At 36.9% G+C, this 14,811-nt stretch overlaps 1 protein-coding gene across 6 annotated transcripts in view; it reads right to left on the reverse strand.

Moving 5' to 3' along the window:
- Positions 1–14,811, reverse strand: part of RNF150 (ring finger protein 150) — a 353,094-nt gene that overhangs the window by 237,611 nt on the left and 100,672 nt on the right. For 2 of the 6 annotated variants that reach the window (XM_017008475.2, XM_047415996.1), the window contains exon 2: positions 12,457–12,540. The exons of the other annotated variants lie outside the window; for them this stretch is intronic. In XM_017008475.2, coding sequence (XP_016863964.1) covers positions 12,457–12,490 — 34 coding nt within the window. In that variant the 5' untranslated portion in view covers positions 12,491–12,540. The remainder of the gene's footprint in view (positions 1–12,456; positions 12,541–14,811) is intronic. 6 annotated transcript variants of the gene reach the window in all.

A 14,811-nucleotide genomic window follows, 5' to 3' on the forward strand; every position in this document is an offset into this window, starting at 1 on the left:
TAAATACAGAAAATAGCTTATAATAACTATAAAATAAAATACTAAGTAATAAGATAGCCTTGTGTCATAGTTTAATTGGTGACTTTTTTTTTCTTAATAATACATCAAATAATGGTGGGCCTTAAAATTTATGGTAATTTTGATTCCATGAGAGAGAATCCAGAGTCCCTAGCTCCATCTAATACTAGATATTGTGCTGTTTTTCTTAATCATTGCCAGTTTTATGTAAAAATGATAAAATGTTTTAACTTATGTCTTTGATTAATAATGAGGATAGCCTTTTTTTCCTTTCATTTTTTGAACCATTTATATTCCTTTTTGTAAACTGCTTGTTTTTATATTTTTAGATGTTTTTCTATTGGGATGTTTGACCTTGCTATTTTTTACGGTAGTTTTTTATTAATTAAAAATATTAAATCTTTGTTTGATATATGGCACGCAAACATTTTTCTCAGTTTATCCATCATTTTAACTTTGTTAGTAGTGGTTTTCCTTGAGATTTGAGACAAATTCAACTAGTAAAAGCTGCCAGTGAATTCAAATTTTACCCATCTCCTTCAGATGCCCCCCTCCCTTATGAAAATCCCTTGTAGATGGGGTGGGAGGAATCATACACATATAAATATGTCACACAGCTAGAAATAACTCCAATTAGCATCAGTATATATTCAAAATTATAAAACACTAAAAATCTACAGCCAATTTCCTGCCTTTGATCACATTTTCTCCCAAAGAATAATGTTCTAGGTCTTCCCAGACAGCACTTACTTTGGGTTCCTTCACAGGCTGCTTGCTGGTAATATAATAATGTGATAAGCAGAAGCAACCCAAAGTCTATCTCATAAGAAATATTTCCTAATGGCTACTCTTCTGTACCCTCCAGCTCTCGGCCTCTGCCCTTGCCAGTGCACAGGCCTCCAAGTGCTAGGGCAGGCCAGTCAGACATCCCTGGGACAGTCCTGGCACACAAGCACAGCCAAGACTCCGTAATGCAAAACGCCATGATGCCCACAGTGCAGTGTGACCACTGGTGTGGTGGGTGTTTGCCTCATACTGGGAGTCAAGAGTTGCAGGTCTTAACCCTGACTCTGTCACTGACTAGAGATATGATCTTGAAATAATTTTTCCTTTCTGAATCTCCAATTTTCCTTATCTTTTGATGGGGGCACTTGGAATCCCATGATCTCTAAGGTCTTTTCCAATGCCTATATTCTGGTTCTATTATACATATCTAATCTCAACTCTACACACTTGCTGTCCCAATAATAAAAACAACAATAAATTCAGGTGTGTCTTTCTCCAAAGCTGCTGTTCTTAAAACATTTTGCTACATTGTCTCTCTTACATTAGCAGTAACAGTCTGATTTCAATGTTTTCCTTCCTCATTGTACAAGGACTGGGTTGACTTGAAAGTCAAGGATAGAGACATCAGGAAGTTTTATTAGACTTCTGACACACCTTAGCCAATGCAGAAAATGGTTCTGAAAGCATGTCTAATTATTTTTCTAGTTGTTTTTAACAATCACGAGAATGGAGTTCCTTGAGCACTTCCTTAAAAAATCTATAATTACCAAACTCAAATAGGAGGTTCTTCCTGAAATGTGGCGATTTGGTGATTCTTCTCCCTGTCTCCATCTCATTATTTCTGCCACTCTTATATAGTTATACTGAAAATTAATCCTATAATTTATTTTTTATAATTTTAATATGATTTTGTAGGATGATAACACTTCTCATTATTGCTGATATAAAAGGATGAAAAAATACTACTTTCCAAAGAGCTGGCACTGTAATTACTCTAAAAGAAGGAAATGCCTTTGGTGGGGCAGAAAATGAGAGAACTCAAGAGCAACACATCTAGAGCTTCAGGAAAAAGGTAGAAAGTGCTCTGCAACCAAGCAGTAGAGAAATTATTTACCTCCCGGATCAGAAGATATTGATCAGTTATCAATATCAGATTGATCTGGATCAAAAGGCATTTTTCTGGCTCAGAAAGCAGAAAAAGAAAGAGAAGAGACAGGGAGGAGAGAGAAGCTGGGGGAAACAAAATTGGACTCTGTACAGGAGAAGGGCAAAAAGAAACTTCTGGTGACTAATGGTCAAAGTATTGCATGGCCACCATGGAAACTTCACCCCAACCATGTGTATCTTCACCAAAAGTGAGGAAAATTGGGCTCCTGGAAAGTTTCTCCTGCTGAGAAACTAAATAAGAAAGTAATTATTTTGACTTTTGAGGCAAAATATTTATTTCAGGGGAGTAGATGGATAAATGAGAGATTAGAGATGTCAGTCTGAACACAAGGTTAGACCAGGGAGTGATTTGACATGATGGTAAAGAGTGGGATGGCCCCTCAAAACATCCAAGTTATATATATAAAAAAAAAACCTTTAAGAACAAGGAACTCTAAAATACAGTATTGAGCCATACAGTATGTGATGTGAACCCTCAGATTTTCAATAAAATTCTATACATTAAATGATACTGTGATTGTGACTATGTATGTTTTAGTAGGGTATTTGGTTTGGAGTGTGTGTGTACCTGTCTCTGAAAGCTGATTAGGTTTTGATCAATGCAGTGTGAAAGAGACATCGCAAAAGATCTCCTGATAACTGATAAACATGAAAATATAAGCCCCTTAGAATGCTAAAAAAATTTTACAGAAACATTTCTACTTTTATAGGACTAGGTTAAAATCAACATAATCTAGACCTCAAGGGACTAGGAGTTCCCACTTGATACCCAGATTTTGCTTCTTTACCCAAATGCTATTTGCCTAGCTCTTTAGTGTGGTAATTATGTTCTAGTCCTTATATATTTAATCAACATCTCTAAGTTGCTTCTAAGTCTTTCCTAAGAAAAGCAGTAACTTCCAGGAAGAGTTAAATATATAATTCTGTCTCAGAAGAACAGGTAAGGAGTTCTCCTCTTCAACTGGAGATGAAATTCTGGAATGGATTCCACAAATAGAAAAAAATAATATTCTTCCTTCTACCACATCCAAGTGACAGTAAACCCAAACACTGCTGATCACAAGTACTGTACATCTACTACTAAATAAGTAATGCTATCAAGGACGTTCACACTTTCATTCTGTAGATTGATCTAATACATTGCAAAGTCAATGCAGGAACGGTTTTATTGCATCCTTTCCATTTTTAACATTTGCTCAGCCTCAACAATGTCTAACTTGGGATGGATCTGACTAAGGGTACTATACAAAGAGGCATGCTAGGGAAGGAGATGTACGTCATGTGTTGCATAACAACAGAGACTGGTCCCAAGAAAGGTGTCCTGAGCCAATTTCATCATTGTGGAAACATCATAGAGTGTACTTAACATAAACCTAGATGGAATAGCCTATCACACATCTAGACTATATGGTATTGCCTATTGCTCCTAGGCCACAAACCTGTACAGCATGTTACTGTTTTGAATACTGTGGGCAACTGTAACACAATGATAAGAATTTGTGTATCTAAACATAGAAAAGGTACAGTAAAAATATGCCATAAAAGATTTAAAATGGTACACCCGTTTAGGGCACTAATCATGAATGGCGCTTCTAAGATTGAAAGTTGCTTTGAGTGAGTGGTGGGTGAATATGAAGGCGTAGGACATTACTATACACTATTGCAGGCTTTATAAACACTATACACTATTGTAGGCTTTATAAACACTATATACTCAGGCTACACTAAATTTATTTTAAAATTATTCTGTCTTCAATAATAAATTAACCTTAGCTTACTGTAAATTTTTTACTTTATAAGCTTACTTTTTAACTTTTTTGACTCTTTTGTAATAATGCCTTAAAACACATGTTGTACAGCTGTACAAAAATATTTTCTTAATATCCTTATTCTATACTTTGTCTATTTTTAAATCTTTCATTTTATTTTTTAAACTTTCTTGTTAAAAACAAAGACACAAATACACACATTAGCCTAGGCCTACACAGGGTCAGGATAGTCAATATCACCGTCCTCTACCTCCATATATTGTCCCATTGGAAGGTCTTCAGGGGCAATAACATGCATGGAGCTGTCATTTCCTGTGATGACAATGCCTTCTTCTGGAATAGCTCCTGAAGCACCTGCCCAAATGGTTAATTTTAGAAATAAATACAAAGAGTATACTTTAAAATAATAATAAATAGTACAATAAATACATAAATCTGTAACATAGCTTTATTATTATGTACTGTACATAATTGTATGTGCTACACTTTTACAGGATTGGCAGCTCAGTAGGTTTGTTTACACCAGCATAACTACAAACACATGAGTAATGTGTTATGCTATGACTTTACAACAGCTACAACGTCACCAGGTTGTAGAAATTTTTTAGCTCCATTATAATCTTTTATTTATTTATTTATTTTGAGATAGAGTCTTGCTCTGTTGCCCGGGCTGGAGTGCAGTGGCACAATCTCGGCTCACTGCAACCTCTGCCTCAGAGGTTCAAGCGATTCTCCTGCCTCAGCCTCCCTAGTAGCTGGGACTACAGGCATGTGCCACCATGCCTGGCTTATTTTTGTATTTTTAGTAGAGATGGGATTTCACCATGTTGGCCAGGAGGGTCTCGAACTCCTGACCTCAAGTGATCTACCTGCCTTGACCTCCCAAAGTTCTGGGATTACAGGTGTCAGCCACTGCACCCAGCCAGCTCCGTTATAATCTTATGGGACCACCATTATATATGTGGTTTTTCATGGACCAAAATGTCGTTATGTGGCATATGACCGTATTTATAGTAAGCTTTCAAGTATATCCACAGAAGGCATATAAATAAAACCACATTTTAGTCTTTTCTTCAATACGAATGCTGTTAGCAAGAAGAAAAAATCTTGATTAGGATCTCACTGCATAGTTTACCCATCTAAAAAATTAGAGTAGCCAGTAGACATGGGACATAGGAAAGGAGGAAAGGCAATAAACTCACATATTAAATAATTTTTCCCTGATCCTTTCCTTTCCTAAAGGTTATTAACATGTCAGCCTTTCAGCACAAATACTCAAGAAGTGAGTCACCATCTACTTTCCCTGGCAACACAGGGAGCAGTTACAGGTTTGCTGTTCTCATATTAAAAGAGAGGAAGATAATGTCACATTCACCCTGTGGTTAGGAAATTTCTACATAAGAGGCAGTGTCCACTAACAAGAATAACCTTATCCTCAAACCACTCTACAGACAGTCCTGCTTCCCTTGCTCAATCAGGCATCAGCACCATGATTATCGCAACAGATGACCATGGCTCGGAGGCCTGCTGATAATTCACAAGGGCGGGCTTTTAATGTCCATATCTACACAGCTGTGGGCAAGATTTTAATTCATACCATGTTAGGAACTGTACATGGTTTCCTAAGCGGTTGTCTCCAGCAAAAGTAAATAACTGAATAAATAAAAAGTATTAAAAGCAACTGTAGATAATTAGAATGTGGTTCCAGTGTTACTACCGTGGGTCTTCACTAGGTATTACTAAAATGGAGCCTGGAGGGGCCAGGGTGGTAATGGATGCCACAGCTTTTTCTTCTTGTCTTCTGATTCTTTTCATATACTCATGCACTTCCATCTGTCAGGTGCTTTCAAAAACGGAGACACCAATCACAAAATCTTTGACTCACCATCCCCTGTGGTTTGGAAATGAAAGCATAGCCTCTCCCCGTAACTGTGTAGGCTCCATCAGTTGTACTCATATTGCTCTAGATATTGTGCATCCCATTTGCTAAGTCACATGAGAGATAAAGACTGCTAGAAACCGTTCTTCAATATGAACCCATAGCCCTTGGCCTCCAATAAAAACTATCAAAGCCTTCATCTGCACAATTGAGGAAAATTGTTATAGATCCTCATGGATTTATGTCAGAAAAGACTAGCCTCCGAGTTGTGAAGACTCTCCTCCTTAACCCAAGAGCCCTTCCTTTTAATGATGGCTTCTATGAGCTAAAAACAGAAATAATAAGTAACAATAAAAGTGAAAAATAGCTTCTATTAGCAAACATTGTGGCCGCAGCAGGTATCAGCCAGCTACCTAACTGTTGGATAACATGGGGGGAGTTATACAGAGTCATAATGCTTGCTACTGTGGGTATTTTTATAGAACGGAGAAAAGACCATCATGGATCACTGGGATATTATTATCTAAGACTGTAGTTTTTAAATCCATCATGACCTCGCACACACGCATGTCAGCATGTGTGAAACAAAAGTTTCACGGAACAATAGCTACCCATATCACATGCAATGAATTATAATGGTTTCCTCTACTTCATTTTTTAAAGTATTATATAACCCTCTGAATTTTTTTTGAACTACAGTTAGAAAAACAACTAATATAAAAGGTTAATGAGACAGGTGGAAATATATTTAAATTGATCGATTTCTAAGGAATCTCAGAAACACTAGTGTGGAAGTTTTAGAGGTCAAATTCTGTTCCTTCAGGCACTAGGATGATTCTATTTTCAAAAATTCAAAACACAAAAGGTCTAGGAATGCCCATTTAATTTTTATTAAAGGGCAAGACAGTAATATTGCAGGAGAAAAAGTAGTTCATTTTTCTTCAATTCTGAGTCAACCCATATTTATTAAGGTTTTGCAATAGGGATATACTTAATGGAGATCGTGTGTTCTAATCGGGGATTGTAAAGAGAAGCAAGAGGTGATAAGGCTTGGGGTTCTAGGGGAAAGGAGTGAAGGTCAAGTTTCCTTAATTTGTGCATATCGCCTCATTGGCTCACCCCAAAGCCCTGTGGAGAATGTTCAGAGGCTGCTGCTCTGAACACGAATGAAGAATGAAGATGACTCCAATGTATTAGAGCTCAATAGCTGAGATCCCAAAAGGTTTCTACCCATCCCTACATCGTGGGTGTCAAGCATAACCATAAAGAGCCATCTTCGCAATTGCTTACAACATCACTTGGCAAAATTCTCAGTGCAGAAACCTTTTTCTTTCATCCATTTTGAATCATCTCCAATAAAGCTAATGGTAGTCAGAGCTGAGCAGCAACTGATGGCAGAAGAAGAATGAAAGGCTCTCATTCTTTGAGGAGGAAAGGAGTCAATTAAAATACTGCAAGGTACCAGTGACTAGATTTTACCTTTGCATCCCTTTAAACATTAAGATTAGATTGGTACATTCAATGTTGTGCAAAACATTGCTTCCCCATCTCTGAAGCCGACAACAAATGATACACTGAATAACAACAGCAATTGATGATTCTATTCAATGTCCCAAATCCAAATTGGTTGCCATATTTAGAGGAGGCTGAATCGTCAACTTCCTTTTGCCAGAAAAATAATGACTGCTGAAATGTATTTGCAATGGCATAAACACTGACAATCATTCAAAACATGAAGATTCTAAAGTACACCAGTTTATACATTTGTGAGTTTGGAAAGGATGTATAAGTTGAAATCATTCTAGTAAGACCTGAATAGAGATTTTGGCACTTCCAACTCCCTCATGGTGATGAGGCTGTCTCTCTCTCTCTCTTGTGCACACACACATCCCTACCTCTTATATCCCAGTTGCAGCCTCCAGACATTGATTAACCCCATCGTGATTTAACATCCAAATATTAACATAGTGACTATGCGTTGCCCTCATTTTCATAATCTCAATCGTGTATACCTATTTAGGAGGTTAAATTTAGAGAGTCTTCTGAACTGTACATATTCTATACAACCAACCATTCACAAAATTCTTTCTAGAGATTTAAATGTCAGAATTAACAATGAAAGTACCAAATGTATGCCTGTATATAAGTGGGAATAACCCTCTGGTGATGATTTTTTGAATTAAAGGCTTTTTCCAAATTGGCCTACTTACCTCATATTATCATTTTCCCTTTCAAAAATCTACAGAAAACTTCCCAAATTAGGGGCCAATGTGATAACTGAATTGGATTTTTGGTATCATCCAGTCCAACTACTTTATTACAAGTCAAATCCAGCACCTCAGCCTCTTGACCTCTCAGCAGCACTGGCACTGTAATATACATCTTTACTGAAATTCTCTCATTCCTAGGTTTCCATAATTTAACTTGTTTTAGCTTTCCTCTAACCAAAATGTTCTTTTCTTGCCACCAATCTCCCAAATGCTCTCCCCTGCCCAGGTCTCTATCCTTAGCTTACACCTTCTCCTGTGTTGGTCCCCTCCATCCTCATATCAGAGCCATGCTAGTAATACCAAACCTGTGCCAAGCCTCAGCAATCTCAAATTTAAAATGCCCATCACTGAATCCACATTTTCCTTCCATACATCCTCTCTTTCTTGTATTCTTTTAGGTCATCTCCCATCATTTACTCATTCAAAAATGTCAATTATTTTTCAATCTACCCTCATATTTAAACATCAGTTTCTAGAAATTATTTCCAAAATCTCCAGACTATTGTTATTGGTAATTAGTACTCCATAAAACCAATGTTTCCTATACACACTCTTCAGTGCAGCTAGCACAGCCATTTCTTAAATATAGCTCTGACAATACTTGCTCAAAAACCTTTAATGCCTCCCTATTACCCAGAAGAAAATACCCAACCTCTTTAGCACCCTTCCCATCTCACCTATTTTTCAGTTTCACTTCACCACACAACCCATCTACTTGTCACTCTGGCCCACTCACCTTACTTTAACAATCAAATAAACTGTTTCCTTTTCTCAAAGTGTTCACATCTTCTACTTCTCTGATAACTGCTTATTTTAAAACATCACCACATCTGCAAAGCCTCCTTCAAATCTCCAGGCCACTTAATCACTCCCAGGTGTTCCTACAGTACTTTGTTCACACAAATAATATCACATATCCACTGTACCCTTGTCAGTTGTTTCTTTCCTCCCTAATTGATTATAACCTTATTGAAGAAAACAGTGGTGTCTTGCTGTCTTTTCTAGCTAGGATTTCACACACCTGGTACATAGTAGGTGTTCGATTAACAACCACTAAGTAAATATATACACACAGTGAAAAACACTTTTGAATTAAGAGTAAGAAGATGTGAGTTTGAGTCCTAGCTAGGCTAGCCAAGGTAGGAGTCAAACTCTGCAAACTTCAATTTCTTCATGTGTAAGATGACATAACAATATCTCTTCCGGCCAGGCATGGTGGCTCACGCCTGTAATACCAGCACTTTGGGAGGCCGAGGCAGGTGGATCACCTGAGGTTGGGAATTCGAGACCAACCTGGCTGATGTGGTAAAGCCCCATCTCTACTAAAAATACAAAAAATTAGCTGGGCATGGTGGTGGGCGCCTGTAGTCCCAGCTGCTTGGGAGGGTGAGGCAGGAGAATTGCTTGAACCCGGGAGGCGGAAATTGCAGTGAGCTGACATCGTGCCATTGCACTCCAGTGTGGGTGAAAAGAGCGAAATTCCATCTCAAAAAAAATAATATATATATATTATTCCATCTACAATATTCTAGTCTACAATGTTCTAGTCTTTCCATCTACAATGTTCTTTTCCACCTACAATGTTCTAGTCTAAGAATCAAATGAAATCAGGTAGAGGAAAGCACTATGTCAAATATAGACTGCTATATTTAGTATAATCTTAGAGTATAATCTTTAAATCTCTATTCTTTCACTTGAAAAATATCCAAGGTTAAGATTCTAAGGCCAATGTCCAAATTGAGGATAAATATAAACACAATGAAAAATAAACACTTTATCTTACATTCTAATGTTCCTAGAAATAAAGGATGACATCAATTTAAAGTGATCTCTACCACATCATATTAACTATTAGTTAGCATGCAGAATCACAGTTATAGAGAATCACATTATAAAGAACATAGACTTTGGATTAAAATAAGTGTGAATTCTAGTGCTACCTATTGCTTTGCTTTATTAGCAAATGCTTTTATAGCATTTTTTATATATGTGTGTAAATGCTTCATATACATAACCCATTTACATCTCACTAGAATCCTATTAAAAATATTGGTCCTATTATTACTATTATTTGCATTTTACATACACGGAAACAGAAGCAGAGAGGCTGGGTGACTTGTTCAAGGTAGCAAAGCTATTATGAGGCCAAGCTGTGATTTGTGTCTGGGCAGTCTGGGTCTAGTCTGGCTTTTAACCACTAAACCATATAGTCTATATCTAAATAATATGACAAGGTAGCACAATGCCTGACCCAAAATGAATTACTGATAGATGTTAGTTTCCTTTCCTTTTGTACATAATGGTGCTCGGGCAACAAAGATGATACATGCAAGTTGTCATGAGGTCTGCTACATCATCTGACAATGCTCCCATTCCACATGGACTCTGTAAAAAAGGGGATTTTATCTGTATACTACCCTCCTCTCCATATTAAAATCTTCCAAGAAAACTAGAAAAGAGCAAACCATTTTAACTAGCTATTAAGGCAGCCATTCAAATGGGATATATCCTATTTGAATGGCCTCATTTATAGCTAGAATATATATATAGTTTCATTGCATCATTAAAATGTCATTACATTGGGCTGAGACAAAGGTAGAGAATTTGCCAGTTCTATTCTTTCATATCTTTTGGTTGTCCTTTGACAAAATCCAGGACATTGATTACATTTTTTATTACAATTCCAATGGTTCACATTGTATTAACTTCTTCAGTTCTCCCTCCCCATTGGTAATCTCCAAAGCGTGACTCTCCTACAGTGGAGATGTCGCAGTTCCCTCTTTAGCATATCATTCAGGGAGAAATGGTGTGAAAGCACTCTCTCCAAATATAGCTCACATCTCTGCAGCTCCCTTGGCTGCTTCAGACTTAGAGGAGCACATTTCATTACAACTATTGGGGTAGACCGGCATTCTTCCTAGTTCTCATAACTGGGTTAATTCTTACATATTCCTACAATTCTTACATAATGCAGTTAGGACCAGCACTGTTTTCTTAAAATTTTTCTTCTAGTTTAATACTGTATTCAATTCAATAAATTCCATCTCTCCGTTGTCAGCTACATAGAGCTTCTTAGAATACGTACTGGTACATTATCAATATTTTACAGTTATATAGTTAATAATAATTTATTTAGCACTTCCCATGTGCCAAGTTCTATACTAAGTGCTTTACATACATTACCACATAAGAGTCCCACAAACTTACAACATTGTATTTCATTACTTCTAAGATGATTTTTAAAAAAAACATTTTAACATCTCTGAAATCAGAATGCTTCTGACAATCTATACCATGTCAAAGTTGTGATAACATATTTTTCTGTGTACATAAAATATTGTTACATCTTAAAACCAGTGGTGATTTAGGTTCAATGAAATTTGTGAGTGCCATATTTATCCCTATTTTAAAGTTAAAAAAACTGAGGTTGAGTCCGTTAAGGGATTTGCCCAAAATTAATTGCATTTACATAATAAGCTAAATAAACATCAATAAGAGACTTTATTGACTTATTTTCTTTCTAACAGTTCACTGTAGCATAAAGACAGGGCATCCATCCCATAATATGCATCCTTAACCGCTGCAGCTCAGGCTCTGAAATTTCACTGGGGTTCAAGTGCCATTTCTATCACTAAACTTAAATATATGATTTTGGGCATATTGCTTGAATGTATTAACCCCATCTATAAAGTCAGAATAATGACAGTAACCCCAGAAGGTTTCTGAGATGATTAAGTAAGATAATCCATGTTAACGCTCAGAACACAATGAGAGATACATTAGCGGTCACTTCAATTTCATAAAATACAATAAGTAAGAAATAACTAACTGATTTGATTTGTTTTGCTATTTACCCCCAGCCCAATTTTATTCCAAATAATACAATATCATTACTATAATCTCTTTGTTCCTATTGCACCAACATTTTGTATGGTAAAATTTCAATTCCAAATGTGGTGAGAGGTTCACCACCTATTCTAGCTAGTATTCTGAAGCCATTCCGATTCATAAAACATACTCTGAGTATCTCCTTTGTGTAAAGTCCTGTTCTTTGTATTAGTTGGTACAAAGGAGCCAAGGAGAAATAAGGAATTATCCTGCCTTCATATCATTTTAAGTATAATGGGCAATGATAAGTATATACAAGCAGAAGATTCTTGGTAAAAAAAATATGATAAATGCTTTTAGACAACTACAGACAAAAAAGCAATCAGAGAACAAATAAGGAAAAGGTTATATCCCATCCCTTAGATGGGATCATAAGGAAATTCTTTAGAAAAGAGGTAAAATTTAAGATGGGCCTTGAAGGGAAGACAGTATACGGCAGATCCTAAGGCAATCCTAAGAACAGAGAACTTCATAAGCAAAAACAGGCTGATTTCCTCTTCCACCTATGATGGAGCAGCATATATCAGAATAATCCTCCCAGTAACTACAATAAAATGTGAATATTTAAAAATCTAACAAACACCTATTTAAGATCATGATAGCAATTAAGAAAACAAGGACATGAGGGGCCAAGATTCGAGAAAGAAAGAAAATACAGTAAAGTGAATCCTGTATTTACCTCTGTTTCTTTGCCAATTTAGGTCTCCAAACATAGTGCCCAAACAGAAAGCAGTAGCCTCTGGCTTGCTGAAGTCTTACTGATCTGGGGAGAAACAAATTGGAGTTCAGGGCTATCAAAGTTGCCAGGATATGAGAGACTAAGGACCAGGACAACAGGGAACCAGAGAGTAGTAAGAACAATCTGCAGGCAATTTCTTCTTGAGGCATCTGATGGCTCTGAAGGAAACAAAATATTTCACCCCAAAATATTTAGGACTGTTATGTCAAAGACACTGAAAATGCAGGGGAACACTGCCTCAGCCTCGGTCTGCCTCCTAATGGCAGGACGTCAATCCTTCCTTACTGGAGACAGCACTTGCTTATGGGCCCAGAGAAGGCACCAGCAGACCCGAGAGGAATCTGGGAACAGATTCTACTATCTTCCCACATTTTCCCACCCTTTAAAGGATGAGAACTGCTCTTCTCTTTGTTTTGTAACTACACAGGATTCACGGCTCTTTCTTAAAATATTTTTAAAGCAAGGCCCCTAAGCCACTGCCTTGAGAGAGTTTTTTGTTTGTTTTTGTTTTAGGTAGGGTCTCACTGTGTCACCCAGACTGGAGTGAAGTGGAGTGATCGTGGTTCACTGCAGCCTAAAGCTCCTGGGCTCAAGTGATCTTCCCACGTAGCTTGGGACTACAGGTCCATGCCACCACACCTAATTTTTAATTTTTTTTTAATGAGGAAGGGGTCTTGCTATGTTGACCAGGATAGTCTCAAACTCCTGACCTCAAGCCATCCTGCCACCTTGGCCTCCCATAATGCTGGAATTACAGGCATGAACCATCTTGCTTGGCCCAACAGTTTTTCACTGAGGCTTCTTCCAAGTGATGGGTACAGCAGGTGTTAATAAATTTCCATTTGTTTATCTTTTGTTAATTTGGCTTCTGTTTCGGGAAAATGTCACAACTAGTAACCTAAAAAAGGTAAAGAAAATAAATTATATTTTCTCTCCTGCAACTCCTACTCATTATCAGGGCAAGATGCCTTGAACTCAATCAGAAGGCAGCTGTTAAGAGACTAAAAAGCTAATCAGTGATTTCGGCAATCTGAGTGTACTACAGGACAAAACCTGCTGTTGAGAACCCATCTAGGAGGGGGTTATCTGGTAAATCATCTGAAGAGCCATGTCCTAAGAGTAAGGACAGACCAGGAATTACACAGCCCTCACAGCTGAATGATGTACAGGGCAACAATGAATTATCAGGACAAAAATGTCAACAGTGCCAAGGTTGAGAACCATTGATCCTGAGGAATGGTCTGTATATCTTTCACATAGAACAGCTAAGTGAGTTTTCCTCCCAACTGTATTGTTCACCTGCTGGGATAACCTTGACTAAGGCAATAAACTTTTAGGGCTTCATGTTTTTCATTGGCAAAATAAACAATTAATTCATTATTTTTAACCAATAAAGTGGCTAAACTTGGTTAGCTCTAAAATCTTTCCCTTCAGTAAAAGTCTCATTTTATTTTGTGGTTAATTAAAAAGTAAGTATTATCTGGATAATTTCGATGATATAGGCAGGAAAAAGATTATAAATCCATTAACCATAATGTATAAGCTTGCATTGCGAGGGCCTTCTTGGCTTACTTGCAACTGGGGAGATCCACACTTGTGTTCAGAGGAAAAAAGGAATACTAAAGCTTTCTAATAAGAATCTTACAAGTGAAAGTACTAGGATTTATGTTAAAATCGCAACAAAAGGGAACACTAAAAATAGACAAACGAATTCCTGAGCATGAGGAACCACAAATGCAATTAAAGAAAATGTTATTTAAAATCAAGGCTGTAGCAGTTTAATGAGTAAGTAAAACTGTTCTGGGTTTATATGAATCGGGCATCATCCGAGGCCAATTAAAATTCTAAACAAAATATACACTTTACATACCTGTATATGGACATATTTTAAATTCTTGTAATAATAATAAGAGTGTCGTGCTTTTATTTTGACCTTAAAATAACATTTTTTTGTAAAATGGAATTTGGTATTGGTTTGCAAATGCTAATAGTCTGCAAATTTAGGATGATGACAGTAGGAGAAATGCAAAAGAACTGATTTATTTATAAAACTAAAAATAATATTTAGTGGCATAAAAATTTGCATAGACCCCTTTAATAGCATTGGCAGGCAAGTGACTGTCTAAATTCTCTGAGAACATCATCATTTTTGACTAAGAGGAATAAATTATACTATGAAAACTATAACTATTCTTTAAGCCAAAATATACAGATGAGGACTATAATATACAGAAGAGTCTTTATCCAATTTGCCAGTCTGTGTCTTTTAATTGGGGCATTTAGCCCATTTACATT

Source organism: Homo sapiens, chromosome 4 (genome assembly GCF_000001405.40).
Source record: "Homo sapiens chromosome 4, GRCh38.p14 Primary Assembly".
Lineage (NCBI taxonomy): Eukaryota > Metazoa > Chordata > Mammalia > Primates > Hominidae > Homo > Homo sapiens.